Genomic DNA, 27,781 nt, shown 5'->3' on the forward strand with positions numbered 1-27,781 from the left:
AAAGGTTATAGTTTTCCTCCTATAGTTCTCACATATTTCTTATGTTTATTGCTCAATACTTGACTTTTTTGTTACGATTGCAAATAAGATCTTTTTGTTATATCTGATGACTGTTTCCTATTGCTGCAGTAAATTATTTTATCCATTCTAAGTTTAGTTGATTCTTTTAGGTTTTCTTTCTTTTCTTTCCTTTCTTTGTTTCTTTTTTTTTTTTTTTTTTTTTTTTTTGAGACAGAGTCTCGCTCTGTCGCCCAGGCTGGAGTGCAGTGGTGCAATGTCGGCTCACTGCAACCTCCACCTCCCAGGTTCAAGCAATTCTCCTGCCTCAGCCTCCCAAGTAGCTGAGATTACAGGCAACTGACACCATGCCTGGCTAATTTTTTGTATTTTTAGTAGAGATGGAGTTTTGCCATGTTGGCCAGGCTGGTCTTGAACTCCTAACCTCAGGTGATCCACCCGCCTTGGCCTCCCAAAGTGCTGGGATTACAGGCATGAGCCACTGCGCCTGGCTGATTCTTTTAGGTTTTCTATGCAAATAACAGTTCGGTTGGAGCCCGTGGTTTGGCAGTGCCGCCAGTCTGCAGGGTTGGTTTGTGACCTCCAGCAGTGCTCAGGAGCCCAGCTGTAAAGGTAGAAAAAGAGGATGTATGGGTTGATCCCAAGTTCGGGATTTCCCTAGACTAGGGCAATAGAAGGACAAGGGGCAGAGTACTGGAGGAGCTCACAAGAGAGTAGCTGATGTAATATACTTCAGGGTCTAGACAAGGAGGGGTGGACGCACTGAACAGTAAGGGCTGGGGAGCTAAAGGCCTCTGTGTTGTGGAGAGGGAGGAAGAGAGAGACTTGAAAGGAGGGGAAGCTGTGCCCCAGAATGGACACTGGGATGTCGGATTTCAGAGGTGATGCCTTTCTAGTACAGTGCAGAGACCCTCCGGTAAGAATGATCCCGTTTTATGGTTAAAGAAACAGGCTTGGAGAGCTTGTTGCCCAGTCACCCAACTCTAGTCAACAGCAGTGTTGGTCTGCTATACTCTACTTGCTCACGCTCTGTCTCCATTTTTCAGGTCCACTCTAGAACAGTCGATGGAGAGAGCCAGGAGAGAGCAGCAAGGGAAGTGGGAGCACAGGAGGGCAGACAGGAGAGAGGGCAGGCACCTCCCAGCCCCTCAGCTGCTGCAGATAGGGAGGCAGGGCAGCTGCACTGCTGGGTCTTCTTATTGGCCCAGGAGCCCCCTCAGGCCACAGCAGCACACCCACAGCATCCCACATCCTGTGCCTGCCCGACGACTCCCTTCGTATCCTCCTCTGTTACACACTGGAGCCCCACCACACGCTCTCTTCACCATCATTCCCCTTGTCCCTGTCACACACTCCATTTCCCCAAACACAGATGGGCTTCCTACACCACAGGCCCTGGGTTCCCCATTAAACGCCTCATGCTCCCGCCTCACTGTCCCTACTTGGGGTCCCTGCCACTCCCCTAGGCTCATCCCTTGCTGTGTGCCTCGTTGAGGCCCGCTTTTGCTGTGTCCACAGAGTGCATCGGATGGCTTCTGGAAATCTGTGGCCACTCGAGTGCCCAAGGAGCCCCCTGAGATTCGAATCCTCAACCCATATTTCATCCAGGAGGCCGCCTTCACCCTCATTGGCCTGCCCTTCAACAATGGCCTCATGGGCCGGGGGGTGAGATATCTGGGCCCTGGGAGAGGGAGGAGGAAAGCTGGGTCAGAAGTGCCTTGGAAGGAAGGGTGGGTGGTGGGTGGGGCAGTGCTTCTGCAAAATAGCTTTCTGGGGAAGAGGGCTCAGTCCTTGGGCATGGAGGCTAGCTCTAGGGAGCTTGGCTGAAGTCTCAGCTGTCCCAGCCCTCCAGCTGAACTCTGCATGCCTTCTCTCACCCCTGCCCCCGTCTTCTAGAACATCCCTACCCTTGGCAGTGTGGCAGTGACCATGGCACTACACGGCTGTGACGAGGTGGCAGTCGCAGGATTTGGCTATGACATGAGCACACCCAACGCACCCCTGCACTACTATGAGACCGTTCGCATGGCAGCCATCAAAGAGGTTCGGGGCTGGGTATGGGGGCAATCCCTGGGTGGGGATGAGGGGGAGGTGCATAAATGAGTAGTAAAGGGAGGAGCCAGTGGCTGGTCTGGCTGCCCAGAACTCCCCAGAAGGTCCTGACACCAAGCATCCTACGTGCCCTCTCCACAGCCTCCCACTGAACCCAGGGCCTTCTCCCTGAACTTTCCTTCCAAGGGACTCTCCGTGCCCTGGTCCTGCACCTCCCTCCCCCTCGCTGCATTCCCCAGTCAGGAACACTAGTCTAGCACCAGCTCAGCCATCCTCTCTACTGCAGTTCCTGCCTTCCCCCAGAGGACGCTATTTTCCCTCAAAAAACCCACAACTGAACACTGCCTCTGGGTCTCAGGACTTCTCCATATCTCTTCCACCCTTCCCCACAGCCAAGCACTGCAGCTCTTCATACCCCGAATTGCTTCCCAAACATCCGTATGTAGGGTACATTACAGGTCTCCAGCCTGTCAGCCAGCCTTTTCTGGCATTTCTCCCTCCCTAGCCAAGACCCCATGTGGAAAATCTGAACCCTTCTGAACTCCGCTTGCCACACTTCTGCTTTGACCACCAGCCTTCCACTGATCCCAGCCTGAAACCTGGAAATCTTGGGCCAGTTCTTCAACAGCTTCTCTGCTGCTACATCTGGGTGATGGGAGGTTGTTGGAGGGAACCTCCCATCTGTGCAGATTCCTGTTTCTGTAAGTCTGGGGGCTCTGGTCTCAGCCCTCATTCCTGCTTATCAGTCTTCTTATCTATCCTTCTCCATCATCCCCCTCCACTATTCCAGAGCCTTCCATGCCCCAAAAGCTCCTCCCTCTTCCAGTGAAGAAACTGAAGCCACAGAGGGGACTCTGATCTGTCGGGCTCTGCACTGTACTCCCACTTGGCCCTTCACCCCTTGCAGCCTGGCTCCCCTCACACCTGACCCAGCTCCCATCAAGGTCACCACCTCAAGGTGGCCAATTCCAGTGGACACAACGTCATCTTTCCTGATCTCTCAGAAACACTTTTCGTGTTGGCCACTCCTTCTTCTTTGAACTTCTGAGTCAGTAATTTCCAACATTCCTCTTATTTCACTCACCATTCTCTCACATTCTCTTTCTCAGCATCATCAATTCTGATCTACGCCTTAAAATTCATCATAGCTGGGCACAGTGGCTCATGCCTATAATCCCAGCACTTTGGGAGGCCAAGGCAGGGGTATTGCTTGAGCCCAGGAGTTTGAGAGCAGCCTGGGCAACATGGTGAAACCCCATCTCTACTAAAAATAGGAAAAATTGGCTGGGCGCGGTGGCTCACGCAGGTAATCCCAGCACTTTAGGAGGCCAAGGTGGGCGGATCCCCCGAGGTCAGGAGTTCAAGACCAGCCTGGCCAATATGGGGAAACCCTGTCTCTACTAAAAATACAAAAATTAGCCAGGCGTGGTGGTGGGCACCTGTGATCCCATCAACTCAGGAGGCTGAGGCAGAAGAATCACTTGAACCCAGGAGGCAGAGGTTGCAGTGAGCCAAGATCACACCACTGCACTCCAGCCTGGGCAACAAAATGAGACTCCGTCTCAAAAAAGAAAAATAGGAGGCAGGGCATGGTGGCTCACGCCTGTAATCCCCGCACTTTGGGAGGCCGAGGCGGGTGGATCACCTAAGGTCAGGAGTTTGAGACCAGCCTGGCCAATAGGTGAAGCCCTGTCTGTACTAAAAATACAAAAATTAGCCGGACATGGTGGTGGACAACTGTAGTCCCAGCTACTCGGGAGACTGAGACAGGAGAATTGCTTGAACCTGGGAGGTGGAGGTTGCAGTGAGCCGAGATCATGCCACTGCACTCCAGCCTGGGCGACAGAGCAAGACTGTCTCAAAAAAGAAAAAAAAAAAAAAAGGCCAGGCATGGTGGCTCATGCCTGTAATCCCAGCACTTTGGGAGGCCGAGGTGGGTGGATCACAAGGTCAGAAGATCGAGACCATCCTGGCTAACACGGTGAAACCGCATCTCTACTAAAAATACAAAAAACTAGCCGGGCATGGTGGCAGGTGCCTGTAGTCCCAGCTGAGGAAGGAGAATGGTGTGAACCCAGGAGGTGGAGCTTGCAGTGAACCGAGATCACACCACTGCACTCTAGCCTGGGTGACAGAGCAAGACTCCGTCTCAAAAAAAAGAAAAGAAAAATTGGAAAAGTTGTCTGGGAGCGCTGGTGTGCGCATGTAGTCCCTGCTGCTTGGGAGACTGAGGTGGGAGGATCACTTGAGCCCAGGAAGTCAAGGCTGCAGTGAGCCATGATTGTGCCACTGCACTCCAGCCTGGGTGACAGTAAGACCCTGTCTCAAAAAAAAAAAAAAAAAAGCACTAGCCAAGGCTCCATCTCAGACAGCCTTCTCTTCTCACTCTGCATGTTCTCTAGGAGATTTACATCCCTGTCCATGACTTCAGGTACCACCTATATTGTATCAGGCTTTTTTGGTTCTTAGCCCCTTCAGACTGCTATAACAGAATGCCATAGTCTGGGTGGCTTTTAAACAACAGAAATTCATATCCCACAGTCCTGGAGGCTGGGAAGTGCAAGATCAAGGTGCGGGAAGATTCAGTATCTGGTCAGGACCCACCAGAGAGGTGGTTCATAGACAGCTGTCTTCTTGCTTTCCTCATATGATGGAAGAGGCAAGGCAGCTCTCCTGAGTCTCTCTCTTTTCTTTTTGAGATAGGGTTTCACTCTGTTGCCCAAGCTGGAGTGCAGTGGTGTGATGATAGCTCACTGTAGCCATAAACCCCTGGGCTCAAGTGATCCTCCCACCTCAGCCTCCCTAGTAGCAGACTGCAGGTGTGTGCCATCACACCTGGCTAATTTTTTTTATTTTTTGTAGGGATGAGATTTTGCTATGTTGCCCAAGCTGGTCTTGAACTCCTGGCCTCAAACGATCCTCCTGCCTTGGCCTCTCAAAGCGCTGGGATTATAGGCATGAGTCACTGCACCTGGCCCTGAGTCTTATAAGGGCACTAATCCCATTCATGAGAGCTCTGCCCTCATGACCTGATCACCTCCCCAAAGGCCCCCACCTCCAAATTCCATTACATTGGGGGTTAGGTTTCAGTATATGAATTCATGGGGAGGACATAAACATTCAGTCTACAGCAGGTTTATTCCAACTACCTCAAGTGATTGGGAGTTATTTCAAGGATATATAAGGCACTTGGAAATCTCATAGGAAGCTAGAAACAGCCTTCCAGCTGGGCCTCCTGTTGTCTCGGATAGGGTTCAGGAGTGAGAAGCTCATTGTGGGTCTGGGACAGTTCTAGAACTGCCTCACCATCACCGTGGCCCCGAAAGTCTTCCATCCCTGCCATGCTTCACGTGCCTTCTTGCTGCTTTGTCCACAGCCAGCGCCCACTTCAGATTGCCCTCACAGCTTTTATCAGCCTCCTGGCTTCTACGTTTACTTATATCTTTGGTCTTTTACAAATGCCTTTTATGTAAACTTTATGTAAAGTTGTATGCAGAGGGTGAGAGCCATAGACGTGGGCGATGGCCAAATCGCAATGGGCTTTCTGTGCCACGGAAGGAGTTTGCACATTATTTAGAAGGCAGTGGGGAGACATGGGTGAGTTTGAGGCCTTACATTAGCATGTAGTGGATCACTGTGGCTGCAGAATGAAGGAGAGGGGGCGAGGCAGGAACAGAACCTAGTTGGGAGTTGCTGCACTTTGGGCAAGAGATGGTAACTCCTGAACCAGATCTTTGGCTGAGACAATGAGAGGTGATGAGAGAGGCGATGAGCCAGATCTTCGGCTAAGGCGATTAGTCAGAGGCAAGAAGTCCAGGCTGGAAGTATAAGGTGATGAGACAGACTCAAGAAATAGGATTTTAACTCAGTAAGACCTAGGGATTGCCTTGGTGCAGGAATGAGGTAGGGCACTGCCTTCCCTGCAGCCCTCTCTGATGGAGTCTTTTCATTTGCTTCCACCTGCCATATCTCCATTGTCCCTCCATTACATGTAAAACCTCACTGGCTCTGAGGCTCCCAGCATCTGCTGCACTACACTCCCTGTAGAGTGCTTAAGAGTGTGGCTTCTTGGCCGGGCACAGTAGCTCATGCCTGTAATCCCAGCACTTTGGGAAGCTGAGGCGGGTGGATCACCTGGGGTCAGGAGTTCGAGACCAGCCTGGCTAACATGGTGAAACCCCGTCTCTGCTAAAAATACAAAAATTAGCCAGGCGTGGTGGTGCATGCCTGTAATCCCAGCTACTCCAGAGGCTGAAGCAGGAGAATTGCTTGAGCCCAGGAGGGCTCAAGTGGAGATTGCAGTGAGCCAAGATAGCTCTACTGCACTCTAGCCTGGGTGACAGAACAAGACTGTGTCTCAAAAAAAAAAAAAAAGAGTGTAGCTTCTCAAATCATAAAAGATGACTTCAGGACCTTGGTTCAGGGGCTGACTCTAGACCTGCATTTCCTTATCTATGAAAGGGACAGTAACAGCACCTACCTCCTAGGGTTTGGAAAGGACCGGATGTGATCATGTGTAAAAAAGGCCTGCCACGTAGTAAGCACTCAGAAATCTTAGCCATTATGATTAATATTTTACCCCTACTTGCCACTGTTATTTACCAATCCCCAGAAGAGGATTCACTGAGAATGTTGGTGCCCGGGTTTAGAATCCCTCTGTTACCTGGGGTGTCTCACATGGACCATTCAACACCTTGGCTTCTCCTCACTTCACCTGCATTTGCCTTGATCAGCTCACTCTGCAGGCCCAGCAGGAGTGTGTGGGATGTGGAGACACATGGACCAAGGATTGAATGCCGGGGATATGGAAGGGATGTCAAGGGAATCCATAAAGGAGACAGAGGAATCAGGAAGGTGCCACATCGTGGAGGCCAAAGGAGCAGCATTCCAGGAAGAGCATCTACAATGTGGTGCTGGGAAACCCAGTAAGATGAGGGCTGAGAGGTGGCCGTCGGATGTAGCTGTTAGGAGTTAACTGCTGACTGTGGTGAGAACAGTTTCAAAGGAATAGTGGAGTGGAAGCCAGATTGCAGTAGTGAACAGTGAGTAGACGGCACCTACATCTGTGGTTAGAGACCACAGATGTTGCTCGTGGTAAGGGATCTCTCAGGATGCTTGGAAGAGAAGGGAGTAGAGAGACTGGGCAGTAGCTAGAGGATGACGTGGCTTCATACGGGAATCTGTCACACAGCAGAGAAGTCCAGGCTGGAAGTATAGATCTGTGAGTTGTTAGCACAGCCGCTTCTTCAGATATAAGGATGAGATTTCCCAGAGAGAGGACAGAGAGTGAGAAGCGCGGCTCATCCTGGCAGGACCCTTGAACGTGGATACTTAACGGTTGGGCGAGGAGCCAAAGAAAAAGAGCTTCTGGCCGGGCGCGGTCCCTCACGCCTGTAATCCCAGCACTTTGGGAGGCCAAGGCGGATGGATCATCTGAGGTCGGGAGTTCCGAGACCAGCCTGACCAACATGGAGAAACCCTGTCTCTACTGAAAATACAAAATTAGCCAGGTGTGGTGGCGCATGCCTGTAATCCCAGCTACTCGGGAGGCTGGGGCAGGAGAATCGCTTGAACTCGGGAGGCAGAGGTTGCAGTGAGCCGAGGTTGCAGTGAGCCGAGATTGCACCATTGCACTCCAGCCTCGGCAACAAGAGTGAAACTCCGTCTCAAAAAAAAATAAAAGCTTCTGAGAGTGTGGACTGTGACATGGGATGGACATCAATACTCAGAATCAAGGGCCCTGGTAAGGCTGGAGACCCCAGGATGACCAGAATCCTCCACCAGCCGCGGCCAGTTCAAAGCTCAGGTGAACTCAGAAGTTGTCTGCATAGAATTAGGAAAAGAGCACCAGAGAGGTGGCATTGCCGGATCCAAGAGAGCTACACCCCAGGGCTGACTTTCTTGTTTACTTTTTTATGATGGAAATTGTCAAGCATATTACGAGTACAGAGGATAATATCATGAACTCCCACGTTCCTGCCCCCCACCTTCCACAGGCATCAACAGGCGGCCAACATTGTTCCATCTCTTCTTTGTCTCATGCTCCCACTCCACTGATTCAAACATGTCTCAGATACCATATATCCCTCCAACCATAAATACTTCATTCAGGCCGGGCGTGGTGGCTCACGCCTGTAATCTCAGCACTTTGGGAGGCCGATGCAGGTGGATCACCTGAGGTCGGGAGTTCGAGACTAGCCTGCCCAACATGGCGAAATCCTGTCTCTACTAAAAATACAAATTAGCCAGTGGTGGTGCGTGCCTGTAATCCCAGCTACTCAGGAGGCTGAGGCAGGAGAATTGCTTGAACCCGGGAGGCAGAGGTTGTAGTGAGCCAAGATCGCACCATTGCACTCCAGCCTGGGCAACAAGAGTAAAACTCCATCTCAAAAACAAAAACCAAACCAAAACAAAAAACTTCATTCATTTTCTCTAAAAGATAAGGACTATTTTTTAAATTATTACACCTAAAAACATGAACAGTAATTCCTTAATATCATCAAATGTCCAGTCCTCTGCTGACCTTTTAACCCTCAATGACTCCTAGTGGGTGCTGTTGACCCTGACCCATCAAATTCGTTACTACTTCTCCAGAGGAGTGATGAGGACGAGGGATAAGTAAAGAGGCAAACGAGTTTCCACATCTGCTTGAATCCTGGCCTTGTCTTTCCTCCAAGTCTCTGTTTTCCCTGTAAAACCTAATTTCATTCAACAAATATTGAGGCACCTACTCTGTGCCTAACAGTCCCTACCCTCAAAGAGAGACAGTGAGCCAGATGCTTAAGTCTTCAAAGAATGGGGATGAGTCGCCCAGGGATCTGCAATGAGGAGGGGCAAGTGCAGATGGCAGAGTATAATGACAGGAGCCTTGAAGGGGCCGGAGGGCTTTAGGGAGTCTGAGGGACAACGGGGTGTAAGGAAGACGCTTCCCGCCTTCAGAGGCTGTGGAGTGTGGAATGTGAGGGAAGAAACGGTCACCACTTGAGAGGGGGTATGGGGGCACTCTCCTTCAGGGCAGCTGGGTTTGTGATTAGCACAAGAGGTTGAAGGGAATGCTCAGAGAAGAGGAATATTGGGAATTTGGCTGATGACTGCGGGAATTTGGCTGATGACTACCTGAGTTTCAGATGTAAAAGATTTGGAAGGTGGAGAAGGTTGACTGGATCAGAATAAGGGCTAGACAGAGCAAGCCATAAGTTCTTTGTAAAAAATTCATTTATTTATTATTTTTCAAAAGATGGGGTTTCTATATGTTGCCCAGGTGGACTAAGCTCAAGTGATCCTCCTGCCTCAGCCTCCCAAGTAGTTGGGACTACAGGCACAGGGCACTGCATCCAGCTCACTTCTCAGCACCACTAAATAGTGGCTGTTAACAGTTATTGGCCGGGCACGATGGCTCACACCTGTAATCCCAACACTTTGGGAGGCTGAGGCTGGTGGATCACAAGGTCAGGAGATAGAGACCATCCTGGCCAACATGGTGAAACCCCATCTCTACTACAAATACAAAAAATTAGCCAGGTGTGGTGGCAGGCACCTGTAGTTCCAGCTACTCAGATGACTGAGGCAGGAGAATCCCTTGAACCCGGGGGGCGGAGGTTGCAGTGAGCCAAGATCGTGCCACTGCACTCCAGCCTGGGCAACAGAGCAAGACACCATCTGAAAAAAAAAACAAAAACATTTATGGTGGTCCGGGCACGGTGGCTCATGCCTGTAATCCCAGCACTTTGGGAGGCTGAGGCAGGTGGATCACCTGAGGTCAGGAGTTCAAAACCAGCCTGACCAACATGGTGAAACCCCCATCTCTACTAAAAATACAAAATTAGCTGGGTGTGGTGGTGCACTCCTGTAGTCCCAGCTACTCAGGTGGCTGAGGCAGGAGAATCGCTTGAACCTGGGAGGCAGAGGTTGCAGTGAGCTGAGATCACACCACTGCACACCAGCCTGGGCAACAAGAGCGAAACTCTGTCTCAAAAATAAATAAATAGATAAAAAATAAACAGTTATGGTGAAGCTCAATGCTGACAAACGCAACAGAGAGGTCACTTGGGGACAAACTCTGATAAGGCTGCTGTCATTCAGCCCTTCATTCATTAAATCAAGCCTTTTTCATCAAAGTTTTCTGGTGAGAGTCCTGGGGTTAGGAAAGGACCCTATCCCAGGTACAGTCTTCCCCAGAAGCCTCTTCTAGTAATTTTGAAATATATGACATTATTATTAACTATAGTCAAATGTGCTCACCATAAAAAATTGGTAAGTAGGTGAGGTTGGCTTGATTTAATTATTCCACAATGTATACATCTATCAAAACATCACATTCTACCCCAAAAATATGTACAATTCTTTCAATTAAAAAATTAGTTTTAATTATTATTTTTTTTTTTTGAGACAGAATCTCTCTCTGTTGCCCAGGCTGGAGTGCAGTGGCGCGATCTCGGCTCACTGCAACCTCTGCCTCCCGGGTTCAAGCGATTCTCCTGCCTCAGCCTCCTGAGTAGCTGGGATTATAGGCGCTACCATCACACCCAGCTAATTTTTGTATTTTTAGTAGAAACAGGGTTTCACCATGTTGGTCAGGCTGGTTTGAACTCCTGACCTCGTGATCCACCCGCCTCGGCCTCCCAAAGTGCTGGGATTACAGGCGTGAGCCACCGCGCCTGGCCTATTTTTAATTTTCTAAAAAAGATTTGCCATCTCTCCGCAGGCCCCATAGCTCCTCTGATCTGGGAGGCAGGATTTCATCCGCCGCCCCCAGGCCTGGAGAGTAGATTGCATCAGGCCAGGGAGTGACTCAGCCACCCCTTGCTGTTGGACTTCAGTGACTCACACTGCCTGCCCGCAGGGTGTCTATAACCTAGGTGCTTCATGACAAGAAGTGGCTTGAAGTCTGTGGGAACAAGGTCCTTCCGCCAGCACTGAGGAGGGAGGTTGGGAAGCTTAACGGTTTTCCTGGGACGAGGAAAGGGGTATGAAGGTTCTTTTTTCCCTGTCTTGGGAAGGGAGGAGGATGAGCTGTGGCACTCCTAGAGCAGGGTCATCATTACCGTGTAGACACAACTGATTACCAGTATCTGCCTTCAGGTTTCCACAGTCACGGAGTATTGGAGAGTGGTGACGAAGAAGGCACCGAGCCCTGGAAGGGGCAGTAAAGGTTTGAGCAAAGGCCCAACTGATCACTTCATCTCTCCTTTCAGTCCTGGACGCACAATATCCAGCGAGAGAAAGAGTTTCTGCGGAAGCTGGTGAAAGCTCGCGTCATCACTGATCTAAGCAGTGGCATCTGAGTGGGCCCAGCACATGGCCATAGAGGCCCAGGCACCACCAGGAGCAGCAGCCAGCACCACCTACACAGGAGTCTTCAGACCCAGAGAAGGACGGTGCCAAGGGCCCCAGGGGCAGCAAGGCCTTGGTGGAGCAGCCAGAGCTGTGCCTGCTCAGCAGCCAGTCTCAGAGACCAGCACTCAGCCTCATTCAGCATGGGTCCTTGATGCCAGAGGGCCAGCAGGCTCCTGGCTGTGCCCAGCAGGCCCAGCATGCAGGTGGTGGGACACTGGGCAGCAAGGCTGCTGCCGGAATCACTTCTCCAATCAGTGTTTGGTGTATTATCATTTTGTGAATTTGGGTAGGGGGGAGGGTAGGGATAATTTATTTTTAAATAAGGTTGGAGATGTCAAGTTGGGTTCACTTGCCATGCAGGAAGAGGCCCACTAGAGGGCCCATCAGGCAGTGTTACCTGTTAGCTCCCTGTGGGGCAGGAGTGCCAGGACCAGCCTGTACCTTGCTGTGGGGCTACAGGATGGTGGGCAGGATCTCAAGCCAGCCCCCTCCAGCTCATGACACTGTTTGGCCTTTCTTGGGGAGAAGGCGGGGTATTCCCACTCACCAGCCCTAGCTGTCCCATGGGGAAACCCTGGAGCCATCCCTTCGGAGCCAACAAGACCGCCCCAGGGCTATAGCAGAAAGAACTTTAAAGCTCAGGAGGGTGACGCCCAGCTCCGCCTGCTGGGAAGAGCTCCCCTCCACAGCTGCAGCTGATCCATAGGACTACCGCAGGCCCGGACTCACCAACTTGCCACATGTTCTAGGTTTCAGCAACAAGACTGCCAGGTGGTTGGGTTCTGCCTTTAGCCTGGACCAAAGGGAAGTGAGGCCCAAGGAGCTTACCCAAGCTGTGGCAGCCGTCCCAGGCCACCCCCATGGAAGCAATAAAGCTCTTCCCTGAGCCTGGCCTCTTTTTGCCTTCTCTGACTTTCCTGGAAGAAACAGGAACCTAAAGCCTTAGCAACTATGCCAAACCCTCGGGCCCTCTCTCCAGTCCACAGAGTCCTGGGTCCCTTTCACTTCTTGTGTCAATGCAGGACCTAGGTAGCCATCCAGAGGCCTCTGGAGCATCTCCTGTATCCTCTTTGCTTTGAGACCAGAGGTTTCAGGGCACACTCTTAGAGGAGACAGAGGCACAGGACTGGAGCCCTAGGACATTGCCTTGGGGTGCCACAGCCCCACCTCTGGAAGGACAGATATTCCTGCAAGCACAGGAAAGATATACTGCTGAGCCCCTGCAGCAAGCAGAGGCTCACAGACCTACCCTACTACTGACACTCCCGTCCCTCTGGGAAGGACATGCCCCAGCCCCAATCATTAGCACAGAGGCACACCCTCTCCCTTCAGCCCTGCTCTAGGTATCCTCTGTCATACTTTAGAAAAGATATCACGTCGCCTTCTTAAGAGTCCTAGAGTCTGATCCCTCTCTTCCCCAGCATCCCCAGGCAGGCCTGAGAATGGACAGACCAGACTGTCGCCTGCACTTGAGGCCATGAAGTGAGCTTTCTGTCACACACTGCCACTGTGGCAGGCAGTAAGTGGGGTGGCCGGCTCCTGCTCCTCTCTCCTGCCCACCCCAATCCAAGACTCCAGGCAGCCCTGGGCTGCCCTCCCACTGGTGAGCCCTAAGGCTGGAGTCCCGGCCATCCCAGGGACCAGCAGCCTCCCACATGCTCCTTCCCACTGTGGCCGGCCTTAGGCAGAAGCCTCCTGGGCTAGGGGGGTAAGGGAGGCCCTGACTGAGGGACAGGTCAACCCAGAAACCCCCTCCATTTCTACCGGAAATAAGGCCACTACCATGCACATGTTCCTGCCTGGATGGTGCCCCGTGGAGTTGTACAGGGCATAGGCTGAATGGCCATAAGTGGTGTCCCTGGCTGAAAAAGCCCCAAGGCAGGTGCCCCAACTGAGCAGCCGGTTGTGGGAGGTGACAGAGCAGACTGCTCCCTGCTTGGCCTCCTATCCCAGGGGGCTCCTGGCACGCCTGCAGCAGCCCCACCACCTCCAGCAGCAGTTCTCTGTGGTCTGACTTCTAGTCCTCACCACCGCGGAAAACTACTTTCACACCAGCTATGGTTCTGAGCCCTGGCCATGCACCAGAATCACCTGTGCAATTTGAAAACTGCACATGTCCACCCTGAAAGTCTGATTTGGGTCTGGGTTGAGGCCCGGATGTGGGTAGTTTTTAAAGGTCCCTAGTGGTTCAGAAGCATAGCCAGGGTACAGCTGGTCCACACACATCCCCAGCACTCTCATCCCTGACCACAGCTTCCAATTGCCAGTTGGTTGACAATTCCCAAATTGCCTTTGCCAGCGCAGCTCTCTCTGCTTCCTTCCAGGCTACAAATTCACCGGCTTCCTGAACATTTCCACTTGGATAATCCACAGGCCCTTCCAACTCAACATGTCCAACACCGAACTCATGAGCCCCTGCCTTTCCTCCCAGGAGCCGGGATGTACCCCTCCCCCAGGTCACCCCGCCAAAGGCACACTTTTGCAGGGTCTACCTACCTCCTCACCCTATCCAGTCAGGCACTAATGAATTTTCAAAATTGCGTGTTCCAGATTGGGGCCTGGCAGCCCCACGCTCCCCTCATGCCCTGCATCAGACCTCATCCTCTTTCCACAGCAGCCTCCACCTTTCTCTCCAACCCCATCCTCTTTACTACAGCCAGAGTCATCCACAAAAAATGCCTGTCTGATTACACCATTCTGCTCAAAACCCTCCCATGGTCCCCAGTGTTAGGATCTTTCCATCCATGTTACTCACCCAGCCCTCAACCCACCTGCCAAATTGCCATAATTAGGCATCTGAAATGCTGCCCTCCAGCTACCTACTTCAAGACTCAGCTCAGATGTTCCTCCTCTGTGACCCCTGCCTTCAGCCCTCAGTACCCACTTCTGCCAACACTGCCCCTGCTGTGCCCCAGTGACTCCCGTGTTTGCAAGTGTGTCCGTACTCCAAGCCCTAAGCAGCACAGGAGGTGAGCTGTGGGGAGACTAGAGCAGAGTCAGATCCTGAAAGCTGCGCAGAGGCTAAGCAACCCAACAAGGCAGGTGAACTGGCCGCTGAGAGAAGAATCGGGTGGAGCAGAGAGCAGCTGCTGCAGGGCAGACAGCCGGACCCCCAAATCTGCACGTACCAGCAGTCAGCCGCCCCACGCAGGGACCGGCTTACCCCTCGCTCCCCGCCCTCACTCACTTTCTCCCGCCCTCGGCCCGGCCTCCCAGCTCTCTACTTCGCGAGTCTACAAACTCAACTCCCGGTTTCCGTGCCTCTCCACCGCTCGAGTTCTCTACTCTCCATATCCGAGGGGCCCCTCCCAGCATCTACCCCCCTCCCAACCTCGGGGGACCTAGCCAAGCTAGGGGGGACTGGATCCGACGGGTGGAGCAGCCAGGTGAGCCCCGAAAGGTGGGGCGGGGCAGGGGCGCTCCCAGCCCCACCCCGGGATCTGGTGACGCTGGGGCTGGAATTTGACACCGGACGGCTGCGGCGGCGGGCAGGAGGCTGCTGAGGGATGGAGTTGGGCCCGGCCCCCAGACAAGGCCCGGGGGCTCCGCCAGCAGCAGGTCCCTCGGGCCCCAGCCCTCGCTGCCACCCGGGCCTGGAGCCCCACACCCGAGGTAAGCCAGCCCACTTGCCTGTTTCTGGTCCCAGCCCTGGATGGACGCTCTTGGGCTGGGGGAGAGGACAGGACCACCCCCCTCCTCTCCTTTCTTGCATCCTCCCTCTCTTGGGCCCTCGGCACAGTTCTCCGCCCCTCCCAGCCCCTCAGTCCCTCTTGTCGCTTGTTGGACTGTGCTGGCCTTGCCGGCCCACTGTAATGTGAGGCTCCCGCTGCCGCTACAGGGTGCAGACTGGCTGCCAAGGCCACACTTTTGGCTAAAAGAGGCACTGCCAGGTGTACAGTCCTGGGCATGCGCTGTTTGAGCTTCGGGGGAGAGCCCAGCACTGGTCCCCGGAAAGGTGCCTAGAAGAACAAGGTGCAGGACCCCGTGGTGAGTAGCGGGCTGGTGGATGGGGAGGCAAGGGCCAGAGAACCAAATGGCCCTAGACCACAAGGAGGTAGGAGGCAGGGCCTGAGCTGCCCTCAAGAGACCTGCTCCCGGGCTCCCCCTAGCGCAGAGGGCTCCTAAGGCTGCCCTGCCTGCCTTTCCCTCCATCACGGACAACAGTCACTGGCCTGGCTCGGAGGCCTTGATTCCACTTAGCCAAGAGGCACACACCAGGACCTGGAGGACAACCCCGGGAAGGCCTGGGGGTCTGTTCCACAGGTGTGCAGGCATTCTGTGTGCTAAAGGATGGGGATGAGGGTGGTAGCTGGGACCCAAGAGGAGGCTGGCTAATGAGGACTTACGAAGGCTCTAGGGCCCCAAAAGGGTGTTTGGGAGTGCTAGCAGTGGGAGCTCAGGAAGGCTGGCTGGGATCAGGAACGATGGCTCAAGGGGGAAACTTCTAGGAGCATGACTAGGCTGCCAGATCCATAGGAGGCTGGGAGGGGGACAGACCTAGACCAGCTCCCAGGGTGGCTCAGCTCTCAGAGACCAGGCTGGTATGGAAGCCTAGCTGGCCCTCCTGGGAGTGGCTCAGGCCTGAGTGTAGCTGAGGGGATGGAAAAGCCCACCCTGCTTGGAATCTGCAGGCTTGGCAGACTCTGCCCCCTTGTGGCCACAGGAAGCCATGACCCAGGCCCCATGTTTTCAGAGGGCCCATTAGCTCCCACCATCCCCCGGCTCTGTGGTCATCGAGGGACACCTATAGTCAGAGGAGAGAACTCAGGTGGCTCTGGGTCCAGAACACAGTTCACAGAGGGGCGAGGTGAAGCAGCTCTGGGTGGGCAGCACAGGCTGAGGCTTGGGGCTCACTATCATTAGATAACTCTTAGAGTGACCAGCTAGCACCCTAATTCTTCTCCAGCCCTCAGCTTCCTCTCCGGCAGCCTGGGGTGAAGGCCTCTGTAGGACCAAGTGTGTCCAGCTATAACTCCTTCCAGCCACTTCTGGCATCTCCAGACCTACAACGCAGAGCAGGAAGGTTCTGGGAAAAGAGGACCCCTCTCTCCCCTCCAGCTGTGTGACCTTGTAACCTTAGACAACCTCTGAGCTTCTCTGAGCCTTGTTTGCTCATCTGGAAAAAGGGGATTAAACCATTTACCTCATGGAGTTGTGAAAGAATAGCTGCAAAGCACCTAACACATAGTAAGGTTCCCAGTGCAGCTACTTCTGCTGGGTTGAGTCTAGCTGTGTAGGCCCCTTGTTCCTCACCTGGAGAAACTGGGGTGGCAGGCCGGTCCCCCACAAAAGATAACTCATCTCTTAATTTGCAAGCTGCCTCAACAGGAGGGTGGGGGAACAGCTCAACAATGGCTGATGGGCGCTCCTGGTGTTGATAGAGATGGAACTTGGACTTGGAGGCCTCTCCACGCTGTCCCACTGCCCCTGGCCTAGGCAGCAGGTGAGTGGTTCTCCCAGTGACTCCTACCTGGTACTGAGGAAAGGCGGCTTGACTGGTGAGGGAGAGCAGGGCTTGGCTTGGGCAGCGGTTAGGTGTGGGAGGGAAAATGGTCAGGGAGGGACCAGGTGAATGGGAGGAGGAGCGGGACTTCTCTGAATGGTCGGTGCACTCAGGTGATTCCTCCCCTGGGCTCCCAGAGGCAGCAAACCCATTATACTGGAACCTAGGCCCTTCCTGAGTTTCCCCTCCACACAGCTAGGAGCCCATGCCCGGCCTGATCTCAGCCCGAGGACAGCCCCTCCTTGAGGTCCTTCCTCCCCAAGCCCACCTGGGTGCCCTCTTTCTCCCTGAGGCTCCACTTGGTCTCTCCGCGCAGCCTGCCCTGTGGCCCACCCTGGCCGCTCTGGCTCTGCTGAGCAGCGTCGCAGAGGCCTCCCTGGGCTCCGCGCCCCGCAGCCCTGCCCCCCGCGAAGGCCCCCCGCCTGTCCTGGCGTCCCCCGCCGGCCACCTGCCGGGTAGGTGAGAGGGCGAGGGGGCGGGGCGGGGCTGGCCCGGGACACCGCGCGTGACTGGGTCTCATTCCAGGGGGACGCACGGCCCGCTGGTGCAGTGGAAGAGCCCGGCGGCCGCCGCCGCAGCCTTCTCGGCCCGCGCCCCCGCCGCCTGCACCCCCATCTGCTCTTCCCCGCGGGGGCCGCGCGGCGCGGGCTGGGGGCCCGGGCAGCCGCGCTCGGGCAGCGGGGGCGCGGGGCTGCCGCCTGCGCTCGCAGCTGGTGCCGGTGCGCGCGCTCGGCCTGGGCCACCGCTCCGACGAGCTGGTGCGTTTCCGCTTCTGCAGCGGCTCCTGCCGCCGCGCGCGCTCTCCACACGACCTCAGCCTGGCCAGCCTACTGGGCGCCGGGGCCCTGCGACCGCCCCCGGGCTCCCGGCCCGTCAGCCAGCCCTGCTGCCGACCCACGCGCTACGAAGCGGTCTCCTTCATGGACGTCAACAGCACCTGGAGAACCGTGGACCGCCTCTCCGCCACCGCCTGCGGCTGCCTGGGCTGAGGGCTCGCTCCAGGGCTTTGCAGACTGGACCCTTACCGGTGGCTCTTCCTGCCTGGGACCCTCCCGCAGAGTCCCACTAGCCAGCGGCCTCAGCCAGGGACGAAGGCCTCAAAGCTGAGAGGCCCCTGCCGGTGGGTGATGGATATCATCCCCGAACAGGTGAAGGGACAACTGACTAGCAGCCCCAGAGCCCTCACCCTGCGGATCCCAGCCTAAAAGACACCAGAGACCTCAGCTATGGAGCCCTTCGGACCCACTTCTCACAGACTCTGGCACTGGCCAGGCCTCGAACCTGGGACCCCTCCTCTGATGAACACTACAGTGGCTGAGGCATCAGCCCCCGCCCAGGCCCTGTAGGGACAGCATTTGAAGGACACATATTGCAGTTGCTTGGTTGAAAGTGCCTGTGCTGGAACTGGCCTGTACTCACTCATGGGAGCTGGCCCCTATTTATTATTTCTAAGTTATTTATTTACTTCTGTGGCTTGTCAGATCCTTTCCTGGGCAGCAGGGGGTTGGGAAGAAGAGGCTGGATGGAGATCATGCCTTGCTGATCGCACTCACACACCTCAGGCTGACTCAGCAATCACAGACCTGGCCTGGATCTTCGGCCCCCACCCAGCAGCTCCGGGATGGGAGGCATGGAACACAGGCAGGGGCAGGGCGGGCAGCAAGGGTGCAGTCACTAGTCCTGGCAGGCTGCTCACTTGGGCCTGGGCTTACCTCTGGGGAAAGAGACTACAGAGGCTTCTGTGGAGAAAGCCCTGTCTCTGTGACCTCTGGCATCTTTGTGGCCCCCGCTTAGTGGGTAAAGACACAGAGAAGCACCCATTGCCCCACCCCACTGTCATTGATCAGTGTCTTACCATCCAGGGAATTGTCTTGAGGGTGCCTTGTCAGATATACACATGCCTCTGCTTGCAGACAGGCCAGCATGGTTAACTCACTATCCACATTCCATGAAGCAGCCCAGGGCATGAGGGCATCTGAAAAAAACCGAGGGTTGGTAGAGGGTGCGGTGGGGTGCTGGCTCCGGTGAGCAAAGCACAGAGCTCCATGTGGATAAGGAGGCAGGAAAAGATAAGGGCCCCAGCAGGATCTGCATCTTGGGTGATGAACAAGGATATTCATTAATTCAAACAAATATTTATTAAGCACCTATTATATGTCAGATACTGATTATATGACAGATGCCAAGGATACAGAAGTGAAACAGACATGATCCCTGCCCTTGAGAAGCTTCAACCAGGAGAGACAGACAATAAGTAAGCAATTACAGTAATAATTATTTAAATTCAATTTGGCAAATGGTACGAAAAGGACAGGAAGCTAAGAAGTCCACACCTTCGTGGGGAAGAAAGGAGAAGTTACTGCTGACTCTGGCCTCTCATACCACCCCCAAGTCACCTCCAAAAGGCCAGGGCTATCCCTAAGCTTTTCTGGATATCCTTTCAAACCTTGTTTCCCATGTCCTATGCATTTGTATTGGGGAGGCCTCTATGATTTTTCTTTTTTGGAAATGAGATGGGGGCATGGATTTGGAAAGGATGCTAAGTCTGAGGAACTGTGGGACATCCAGAGGGGTTGTCAGGAGGCAGTGGGATCTGCTGGTCTAGAGCTGCCGAGGGAGGTCTGGGCTGGATTGATGTGACAGCTGTCAGCACAGAGGCAGGAGCTGCAGCCGGGGGTGAATGAGAGTACCATGAGAGATGGAGAGGGTCGAGGGCGAGATCCCTCAGGCATTTGACGCTGCTGAGAGAAATTCCTTCCAATCCGCCTGTGTGCCTTCCTGCTTTGGCACAGATGCCCCCTTCACCCAGGCTAGAGTGAGGAGCTGGCAAGAGCTCTCTGAAGGCTGTGCCCATTCTGGGTCAAGGAGGAGAAACGTGTGTGTGCTCCCACTCTTCTGCATTCACTGCCCCAGTTCTAGATGCTCCAAAAATTTCGATGCCTTTGCTCCCTTCAAACACCCTGTTGGCCCCTCTCTGCCTCCAAACGGATTCGGGATCCTTAGTTCCACCTTCCCTCCTGCAAAGAAAATGGCCCCAGGGCCATACAGTTTACAGAGGGCTGGCTGCAGGCAGAGAAGGACATTCTGTCAATTCCAGGGTTATTGGGGCCAGGCAGCCCCCTGCTAGTGAGACTTTAAAGCCTAGCCTAGTCCCCAAACCCTGCCACTCAGTAGACACGGCTGCTCCAGAGCCAGTAAAGGAGACTGACTGAAGCCATCTCTGACAATGCTCACAGTGAGAGGGCCACAGCCCAAGCCAAAGGTGCTGGCTGTCAACATTCCCCAGGCTGCCAGCTTTTGAGGGAACAGGGCTCACCCCAGCTGGAGGCTGCATTCTGGGCCCCAGACAGCTTGTGCTCAACATCTCAGAGTCCGGAACAAGACAGCAACAGCTCCAAGAACACATTCCCATATGAATTAGCCTCAGTTTGCAACTCAGGACAACCCAAATCAAAAGGAAGACAGTGAAGGAGGGAAGGAGGGGAGGGAAGGAAGGAGGGGAGGGAGGGAGGGAGGGGAGGGAGGGAAGGAGGGGAGGGAGGGAGGGGGAGGGAGGGAGAGAGGGAAGGAAGGAAGGGGAAAGAGAGAGAGAAAGCAAGAAGCAAGCAAGAAAGAAAAGGTTGTTTTCCCCAAAGGAAACAGGCTGCAGAGCTGTACCTCTGTTTACCACATAGTAGCTATAACCTGTCACCAGGTGGCACATTGTAGCTCCTGGGGCCACAGGTGACTCTGGTCAATACTAAAGCCAAAGGCCATTTAGTCCTTTGAAGTCTCAGAAGCATTCGATAGTGTCAGTCCTCCTTGAAAACCTGTCTTCCCGTGACTCTCTTGGTCCAATACTCTCCGGGTTCTCCTTCCACTCCTCCAGAGGCTTGTTCTCAGACGACTTCTGAGTTCCTCTTCCTCTCTCTGCCTCTCATGTTCCTCAGAGCTCTGATACCGACTCTCTCTCCTCTTCCCATTCTACTCTCTCCCTGAGCAGCACTGTCTACTCCCGTGGTTTCAGTTACCACCTCCATGCTAACCATGCTCACATTTTATCTCCAGCCTAGAACATTCACCTGAGCCCCAAGTCTGTAATTCCAATACCTCTATCTGTATATCCTGGGAGACATCAAGCTTAACATATCCATACTGGATGTCTTCCGTTTCCTCCTTCAGATCTGCTGTCCACCCTTCTCCAGCCTGCTCTGCTCCTCACATCAATGAGCTTCCCTGCTGTCCAGCTTCCAGACCCTCCCCAGTGTTCCCTGCTCAGTGAGTGCACCAACCTCATCCAGTGACACAGCCAGAAACTTGGGCAATCTCCTAGGCTCCTTAAGCTCTGTCATGTCCCTTAAGCATTGGTCACCAAATCCTTAGATCCTGCAGATCCATCCCCTTTCCCTATCCCCAGTGCTATTCTGCTGAAGCCTTCATAATTTTTTGGATGGTTTATTCCTCATCCTCCTACCTGGTCTCACTGTCTCCAGTCACAACTCCCTCCAACCATTCTCAGCGCTGCAGCCAGATAAGTTGCCTTCTCTTCATATTAACCGAGCATGAACTGTCGTGCACTGGGCTAGTTTCAGGGATTCAGAGACCAGTGAGAAACATGTTTTGCCATCAAGGAAACTATACTTGGAGATGGAAGTAGGGGTAGGGTAGCAAATAAAAGTAAAAGACATCCTGTTAAATTTGGATTTCAGGCCCTGCGTGGTGACTCATGCCTGTAATCCCAGCACTTTGGGAGGCTGAGGTGGGCGGATCATGAGGTCAAGAGAGTGAGACCACCCTAGCCAACATGGTAAAACCCGGTCTCTACTAAAAATATAAAAATTAGCTGGGCGTGGTGGCACGCACCTGTAGTCCCAGCTACTTGGGAGGCTGAGGCAGGAGAATCGCTTGAACCCGGGAGGCAGAGGTTGCAGTGAGCCAAGATTGTGCCACTGCACTCTAGCCTGGCGACAAAGTGAGACTCTGTCTCAAAAAAAAAAATGGATTTAAGGTAAACAATAAATACACCTTTTTTTTTTTTAGATAGGGTCTTGCTGTGTCCCTCGGGCTGGAGTGCAGTGGTGTGATCTCAGTTCACTGCAACCTCCACCTCCTGGGCTCAAGCGATCCTCTCACCTTAGCCTCCTAACTAGCTAAGACTACAGGTGCATTCTACCACGACTGGCTAATTTTTAAATTTTTTTAATTTTTATTTTTTTGGTAGAGATGGGCTCTTGCTATGTTACCCAGGCTGGTCTCGAACTCCTGAGTTCAAGAGATCCTCCCACATTGGCCTCCCAAAGTGCTCGGATTACAGGTGCGAGTCACCATGCCTGGCCTAAATACTTGTTTTCAGTATGTCCAATGCAATAATTGAGACATACTTATACAAAAAAATTGGCTGGGCGTGGTGGCTCACCCCTGTAATCCCAGCACTTTGGGAGGCTGAAACAGGTGGATCGCTAGCGCTCAGGAATTCAAGACCAGCCTGGGCAACATAGTGAAACCCTGTCTCTACCAAAAATACAAAAACTTAGCCAGGTGTGGTGACGTGCATCTGTGGTCCAGCTACTTGGGAGGCTGAGGTGGAAGGATTGCTTGAGCCCAAAATCGTACCACTGCACTCCAACCTGGGTGACAGAATAAGACTCTATCTCAAAAAAAAAAAAAAAAAAAAAAAAAGGCTGGGAGCAGTGGCTCACGCCTGTAATCCCAGCACTTTAGGAGGCCGAGGAGGGCAGATCACGAGGTCAGAAGATCGAGACCATCCTGGCTAACATGGTGAAACCCTGTCTCTACTAAAAATACAAAAAATTAGCTGGGCGTGGTGGTGGGCGCCTGTAGTCCCAGCTACTCAGGAGAATGGTGTGAACCTGGGAGGCAGAGCTTGCAGTGAGCTGAGATCGTGCCACTGCACTCCAGCCTAGGCGACAGAGTGAGACTCCATCTCAAAAAAAAAAAAATTGTTGTTTATCTCATATTCAAAATTAAATAGATGGCCAGGTGCGGTGGCTCATGCCTGTAATCCCAGCACTTTGGGAGGCCGAGGTGGGCGGATCACGAGGTCAAGAGTTTGAGACCAGCCTGGCCAATATGGTGAAACCCTGTCTCTACTAAAAATACAAAATTAGCCGGGGATGGTGGTGCACACCTGTAGTCCCAGTTACTCAGGAGGCAGAAGAATTGCTTGAACCTGGGAGGCAGAGGTTGCAGTGAGCCGTGACACTGAACTCTAGCCTGGGTGACAGAGCAAGACTCCATCTCAAAAAAAAAAAAAATAAATAAGTGTCCTGATTTTTTTCTGGCAACCCTAGGTAGGGGTAAACAAGTACCCCAGTAGAAGTATGACTGAGGTTATAGGTATGTGTGTCAAGGAGGGGGCAGATTCTACAATCACAAAGGAAGAGGAATCAGTTTTTTCCTGGATAGACGCAGAAGAGGAAAAGTCTTTGTGGAAAAGGTGGTATTTGAACTGAGTCTTGAAAAATGAGTTTGTTTGCACAGGGTGGATTATAGGGTGGATGAGAGGCATGGAACCCGAACTGGTTATTGCTGATTGCCTTTATTTCCTCTCACTTCTAAATGTACACTGTTCATTGTGGCCATGTCCTGTCCTGCACGGTGTGGTTCTCAGCCCTGGACAGGAATGGAGTGGAGAGGTGAGGGCCTCTTCCTTGGGCTCTCCATCTCAGCCTGAAGACTCTGCTAGTCCTATATTCTTTAGATTTTTATTTGTTTATTTATTTATTTATTTACTTCTTACTAGCCAGTTCATCACAGCTTCAATTCCCTGTTACACTTCAAAATGCTTATGTTGAACTTTCCCTGCCTGCTGACTGTGTGATGTCTCTCTCCTGATGGCATCCAGAATGACACAGAGCCTTCTCAACAGAGGAAGTAGCATGAACAAAGACAGGGAAGTGTGAAACAGCCTGGTGCGCTCCCAGGATTGCCAGCAACTTCAGGTGGACTTGGGGAGGGTCCTCATCAAGACAAAAGACTGGAGAGGTCACAAAGGGCTTTGAATGTTATACCGAGAAGCTCAGCCTTCGCTCTGAAAGGAGCCACTAAAGGGTTTTAAGTGGGCTTGGTTAGAGATGTGTTTCAGATGGATCACTTGCTACTGTGTCTAGTATGGATGGAAGAGGCAAGGTGGGTGCCAGCTAGAGCTGCCATAGTTAGAGCCGTTCAGGCAACAAGCACAGGTACCTTGAGTTAGGGCAGAAGCAAATGTGCAAGGACAGAAGAGATGTGAGGGACAATAAGAGAGGTGAGGGCTGGATGAGAGATGGTTTCCAGGTGTCTAGCTTGGGGGACTGGTACAGAACACAGGGGATGTAGTATTTTAGCATGTGATAGGGGTAAGATGTGGGGAAAATGTGAGTTCAGTTTTGTACATGTTCAACTTTGGGTGCCTGTGGCAACTTCAGAGGGCCAGGAGGCAGCTAAATATGCAGGTTTGAAACCCAGGACAGTCTGGGCTGGAGAAATCCAAGGAGTCACAGCTTGAAGCCAGGGGAGTGGTGAGATAATGAGGCATAAGACAAGAAGCGGAGACTAAGGAGGACCAACATTTAAGGAACAGGTGGAGGAACAGGGATGGGCCAGTGAAGGAAACCAAAAAGGAGTAGTCAGAGTGTCGGGAAAAACAAAACCAAACAGAAGAGCTGAGGGACTGGTCAATAGGGCCAGATGCAGCACAAAAATCAAGCTGCATCAGAACCGAAAACTGCCCGTTAGGTTTTCTTGCAACATGGTGGCCTAAGGACTTGGGCTAAACTTCCTCCTGAAAACAACTTTAAATACTAGACTCTATCTATCTTTAAAATTAAATGCATCCATAAGCTAGCAAAAATGTAAGAAACACACTGAGGCCAAAAAAGTAAATGAAAGCAAGAAGCTACAAAGGTAAGCAAAGCTCTGTCATTGGCTTTCATCTTGAGGGCAGTTGCCGAACCCAGAGAACCTGATCATTGGTTTTCAAGGGGTCTCTGGGCTTATGAGAAAGACAAAGCCCAGGGCCCCCTCACCATGGGGAGTCTATTTAGAAACTTCTCCATAAGGCCAGGACCTCAAAGGCCAGTGTATGCCTACACTGTGAAGGTGAATTAGAAAGAAACCTGCCCCTGTCTGACCTAACCTCTCTCCCTCAAACCAGGGGACTACAAAGAAAACTGCCTACATCCAACCTTGGTACTAAGAAAGGGGAATAATCTCCCCCTGAGAATTCTTTTTTTTCTTCTTCTTCTTTTTTTTTTTTTTTTGAGACAGAGTCTCGCTCTGTTGCCCAGGCTGGAGTGCAATGGCGCGATCTCAGCTCACTGCAACCTCCACCTTCCAGGTCCAAGAGATTCTCCTGCCTCAGCTTCCCAAGTAGCCGGGACTACAGGTGCCCGCCACCACACCAGGCTAACTTTTGTATTTTTAGTAGAGACAGGGTTTCACCGTGTTAGCCAGGCTGGTCTCGAACTCCTGACCTCGTGATCCACCCACCTCAGCCTCCCAAAGTGCTGGTGGCATGAGCCACTGCGCCCGGCCTCCCGCTGAGAATTCTTAACTGCAAGCAGGCAGTCGTCTGGTTTTGCAGACCAAATTCACATGATTTTGGTAGGCTGAAAAACTTCAAAGTGATCATTTAATTTGACATGAACATGGATTGGTAGTGGTTCCAGGTGACCAACAAAAGCTCCCTCTCCTCCTCTGCTGAGTTTTGGGATGTTCCCTCCTGAATCTGCAGACCTCTCCCAGGGTTGCCACAGGTTCTTGCCCCTATAGGTCTACACTTGTTCCTTAGAGAAGAAAGAGCCCTTCTGGCTCCCAAAGACTTATCTGCCACTTGGCTCTGAGCTATCCTGCACTAACATCCAAATCTCCTGGAGATCACCTTTGGTCTGGCCTCCGGAAATGCCCCCAACTCTCCCCAGGGCCTACTTCAGTCCATCTGTCCTAAATAGTGTTTGCAAAGGATGTTCAGGAGTCATTGCTGTGAGACTGGGCTTCTTTCTCTGCCAGATCCCTGGAACCTCCAGGGATGAGGAGGAGCCCTGGATGGGAAGCAGGAAGAAAACACATACTGACTAAGTTGTGGTCTCTGGGCTGAGCCCCCCACCCCTAAAACCCCTTAACTAAAATGAGTTTCAGAAGAAGCTAAGGTCTCATTGCTAGAAAGAGGCATAAACAGGTTTTGAACTCAGGACTAAGTCCAGAATTTGTGCATTTAAACCCCACTCCCAACACCATCTCCCCTGCCCACCACCACCTCCACCAGTGAAACCGCCAGCCAGCACCAGGCCCAAGGTATTTCACACCCTAGGCACAGGCCTGGAATCAGTTACTTTATTTTGGCTTTCTATTTCCTCCTTCCAAATGTCTCCTGCCTCTCTTTCTTCCTTCAATTTGTCTTTCATGTTGCAGATTTTTCTAAAATGCAAATGTAATCATCATTGCTCACTTGAAACCCCATCATGGTTTCATATTGCACTTAGGATAATGTCCAAACTCCTACAAGAATCTATTGCCACCAACTTGTCTTTCCAACCTCATCTCTGTTACTCATACCCTTCCCCTTCCCCACCCCACATATATTCTCTTAAAATGAATATAAATTACTTACTATTCTTTCTTTTCTTTTCTTTTTTTTTTTTAGACGGAGTCTCACTCTGTCGCCCAGGCTGGAGTGCAGTGGCGTGATCTCAGCTCACTGCAAGCTCCACCTCCCGTGTTCAAGCCATTCTCCTGCCTCAGCCTCCCGAATAGCTGGGACTACAGGTGCCTGCCACCATGCCCGGCTAATTTTTTGTATTTTTAGTAGAGACGGGGTTTCACCGTGTTAGCCAGGATGGTCTCGATCTCCTGACCTCGTGATCCGCCCGCCTCAGCCTCCCATAGTGCTGGGATTACAGGCGTGAGCCACCGCGCCCGGCCTACTTGCTATTCTTTATTGATGAAGACTTGCTGAATGACTTAGAGTCCTACTGGATTTTGCTTACCAGCTAAATGGGCCCCTCTCCTTCCCAGGCTCTCTATTCTTCAAGCTCAGATCAAGTTTCTCTTCTCAGGGAAGCCTTCATGGACCTTCTCAGGCCTCAGCAGCTGCTGCCAATGCCAGCTTCCAATGCCAGCTTCCTCCATTTGAACAAAACTACGGAGCTCTTTGCACTTTTAATTTTTTCCTCTTCCCTGCTAGGGTAGCTGGCAGGAGTTAATAAACAATAAAATACAACTGGAGGGGTGACAGGCAGGAACTACCGGGGCCTGTGGCAGACCAGATCTATGGCATGGTCTGCCACCCTGTCTGTGTGCCAGGGGCAAGATAAGCCTAACTTTCCCCAAGCTCGATTTCCTCATCTCATCTGAAAATGATGAATAAAAATATCCACCTCAGAGCTATTAAGAAAACTGAACCTAAGGTAAGCAAAGTCCTGCTCCTAGCACTTAAATGTAAGCTACTCTTACTCTAGTTACACATAAAGTTACTTCCAAAAACCTTACGAAATTCCCCGAGCACTGTCCATGGTATGTGGTTTCCCGGTTGCTTATTGGGTGGTCCCGAGAGCCTTCCTTTTTTCCTTCCTGAGGCGTGCCAAGTCCCCTCTCCTCTTCTCTGGGTGGTGCTGACGCCTTCTTCCCAGGCTGCACCTTTGCTGGGCCGGAGGATGCCCCCGGCAGCGGAGCGCCAGAGTGACCAGGCAACCTCCCCAGCCTCCACCCTCTAGCCCGGGCTCCCACCTCCGTCCTCCGGCCCCTCGAGTCACGTCGTCCTACTAAGGAGTTGGGCCGCAGCGCCCCGCGCCGGTCTGACCCGGAATGCCTGCTCGCCGCGGTAGGCCGAGGACAGGCGGGGCTCTGCAGGTCCCCAACCCACGTGCTCCCGGCCTCCTCCGCAGGGCGCCGCCT

General features: G+C 52.8%; 2 protein-coding genes and 2 long non-coding RNA genes across 64 annotated transcripts in view, besides 11 other annotated features; 2 read left to right on the plus strand and 2 right to left on the minus strand.

Annotated features, from left to right (window-relative positions):
• ST3GAL3 (ST3 beta-galactoside alpha-2,3-sialyltransferase 3) overlaps window positions 1-12,292 on the plus strand; it is a 223,624-nt gene extending 211,332 nt beyond the window's left edge. For 19 of the 56 annotated variants that reach the window (NR_146867.2, XM_047428200.1, XM_047428184.1 and 16 more), the window contains 4 exons: window positions 1,537-1,683; window positions 1,915-2,061; window positions 2,576-2,771; window positions 11,265-12,292. Coding sequence is in view for 43 of the 56 variants with exons in the window: in XM_047428200.1 (XP_047284156.1) it covers window positions 1,537-1,683; window positions 1,915-2,061; window positions 2,576-2,771; window positions 11,265-11,335 (561 nt within the window). In the remaining 13 variants the exon portion in view is untranslated. The other 37 variants (NR_073021.3, NR_073018.3, XM_011541981.3 and 34 more) reach the window with 6 other exon arrangements.
• Window positions 1,732-2,547: an enhancer, noted in NCBI's record as "H3K4me1 hESC enhancer chr1:44386271-44387086 (GRCh37/hg19 assembly coordinates)". NCBI's record gives its function as "activates a minimal SCP1, AML or CMV promoter by ChIP-STARR-seq in primed H9 embryonic stem cells {active_cell/tissue: H9 hESC(primed)}" and the evidence as "EXISTENCE:reporter gene assay evidence [ECO:0000049][PMID:30033119]".
• Window positions 10,730-11,024: an enhancer, noted in NCBI's record as "tiled region #11119; HepG2 Activating DNase matched - State 9:DNaseU, and K562 Activating DNase unmatched - State 5:Enh". NCBI's record gives its function as "activates a minimal TATA promoter and a strong SV40 promoter by Sharpr-MPRA in HepG2 and K562 cells {active_cell/tissue: HepG2 | K562}" and the evidence as "EXISTENCE:reporter gene assay evidence [ECO:0000049][PMID:27701403]".
• Window positions 11,951-12,010: an enhancer, noted in NCBI's record as "active region_926". NCBI's record gives its function as "activates an Ori minimal core promoter by ATAC-STARR-seq in GM12878 lymphoblastoid cells {active_cell/tissue: GM12878}" and the evidence as "EXISTENCE:reporter gene assay evidence [ECO:0000049][PMID:35858748]".
• Window positions 13,196-13,696: an enhancer, noted in NCBI's record as "H3K4me1 hESC enhancer chr1:44397735-44398235 (GRCh37/hg19 assembly coordinates)". NCBI's record gives its function as "activates a minimal SCP1, AML or CMV promoter by ChIP-STARR-seq in primed H9 embryonic stem cells {active_cell/tissue: H9 hESC(primed)}" and the evidence as "EXISTENCE:reporter gene assay evidence [ECO:0000049][PMID:30033119]".
• Window positions 14,326-14,375: an enhancer, noted in NCBI's record as "active region_927". NCBI's record gives its function as "activates an Ori minimal core promoter by ATAC-STARR-seq in GM12878 lymphoblastoid cells {active_cell/tissue: GM12878}" and the evidence as "EXISTENCE:reporter gene assay evidence [ECO:0000049][PMID:35858748]".
• Window positions 14,886-14,975: a silencer, noted in NCBI's record as "silent region_792". NCBI's record gives its function as "represses an Ori minimal core promoter by ATAC-STARR-seq in GM12878 lymphoblastoid cells {active_cell/tissue: GM12878}" and the evidence as "EXISTENCE:reporter gene assay evidence [ECO:0000049][PMID:35858748]".
• On the plus strand, window positions 14,934-18,373 carry ARTN (artemin). 5 transcript variants are annotated; one of them, NM_057090.3, is made up of 5 exons: window positions 14,934-15,018; window positions 15,245-15,393; window positions 16,723-16,849; window positions 17,202-17,364; window positions 17,435-18,373. In NM_057090.3, the coding sequence occupies exons 3-5, from the start codon at window positions 16,790-16,792 to the stop codon at window positions 17,896-17,898; spliced, it is 687 nt and encodes a 228-aa protein (NP_476431.2). In that variant the 5' UTR covers window positions 14,934-15,018; window positions 15,245-15,393; window positions 16,723-16,789; the 3' UTR covers window positions 17,899-18,373. The 5 variants fall into 5 exon arrangements, with proteins under 5 accessions (NP_476431.2, NP_476432.2, NP_001129687.1 ...); NM_057091.3 differs by having other exon boundaries at window positions 17,226-17,364; NM_001136215.2 differs by lacking the exon at window positions 15,245-15,393.
• Window positions 15,526-15,575: a silencer, noted in NCBI's record as "silent region_793". NCBI's record gives its function as "represses an Ori minimal core promoter by ATAC-STARR-seq in GM12878 lymphoblastoid cells {active_cell/tissue: GM12878}" and the evidence as "EXISTENCE:reporter gene assay evidence [ECO:0000049][PMID:35858748]".
• Window positions 16,465-17,059: an enhancer, noted in NCBI's record as "H3K4me1 hESC enhancer chr1:44401004-44401598 (GRCh37/hg19 assembly coordinates)". NCBI's record gives its function as "activates a minimal SCP1, AML or CMV promoter by ChIP-STARR-seq in naive H9 embryonic stem cells {active_cell/tissue: H9 hESC(naive)}" and the evidence as "EXISTENCE:reporter gene assay evidence [ECO:0000049][PMID:30033119]".
• Window positions 17,060-17,654: an enhancer, noted in NCBI's record as "H3K4me1 hESC enhancer chr1:44401599-44402193 (GRCh37/hg19 assembly coordinates)". NCBI's record gives its function as "activates a minimal SCP1, AML or CMV promoter by ChIP-STARR-seq in naive H9 embryonic stem cells {active_cell/tissue: H9 hESC(naive)}" and the evidence as "EXISTENCE:reporter gene assay evidence [ECO:0000049][PMID:30033119]".
• Window positions 17,599-17,648: a silencer, noted in NCBI's record as "silent region_794". NCBI's record gives its function as "represses an Ori minimal core promoter by ATAC-STARR-seq in GM12878 lymphoblastoid cells {active_cell/tissue: GM12878}" and the evidence as "EXISTENCE:reporter gene assay evidence [ECO:0000049][PMID:35858748]".
• Window positions 17,769-17,958: a silencer, noted in NCBI's record as "silent region_795". NCBI's record gives its function as "represses an Ori minimal core promoter by ATAC-STARR-seq in GM12878 lymphoblastoid cells {active_cell/tissue: GM12878}" and the evidence as "EXISTENCE:reporter gene assay evidence [ECO:0000049][PMID:35858748]".
• A 655-nt stretch (window positions 18,374-19,028) lies between the features above and the next one.
• LINC02918 (long intergenic non-protein coding RNA 2918) lies at window positions 19,029-21,674 on the minus strand. Its single transcript, XR_947283.2, has 2 exons — window positions 21,363-21,674; window positions 19,029-19,926 (listed from the first exon to the last, which is right to left on the minus strand). It is a non-coding gene; the product is annotated as a long intergenic non-protein coding RNA 2918 (long non-coding RNA).
• Window positions 21,675-25,487: 3,813 nt separating this feature from the next.
• LOC101929609 (uncharacterized) lies at window positions 25,488-27,732 on the minus strand. Of its 2 annotated transcripts, none has more exons than NR_188535.1 (2): window positions 27,614-27,732; window positions 25,488-25,929 (listed from the first exon to the last, which is right to left on the minus strand). It is a non-coding gene; the product is annotated as an uncharacterized LOC101929609 (long non-coding RNA). The 2 variants fall into 2 exon arrangements; NR_188534.1 differs by having other exon boundaries at window positions 27,377-27,732.

The sequence above is a fragment of the Homo sapiens genome, chromosome 1 (assembly GCF_000001405.40).
Source record: "Homo sapiens chromosome 1, GRCh38.p14 Primary Assembly".
In the NCBI taxonomy this organism is placed as follows: Eukaryota; Metazoa; Chordata; class Mammalia; order Primates; family Hominidae; genus Homo; species Homo sapiens.

Excerpts from the sequence above, each read along its gene's own strand:
- ARTN (XM_047433657.1), top strand. The coding sequence starts at position 16,790 with ATGGAACTTGGACTTGGAGGCCTCTCCACGCTGTCCCACTGCCCCTGG. Across the intron at positions 16,850-17,201 it reads GCCCCTGGCCTAGGCAGCAG|GCTCCACTTGGTCTCTCCGC; the intron begins GTGAGTGGTTCT and ends TTTCTCCCTGAG. Across the intron at positions 17,365-17,434 it reads CCCCGCCGGCCACCTGCCGG|GGGGACGCACGGCCCGCTGG; the intron begins GTAGGTGAGAGG and ends GTCTCATTCCAG.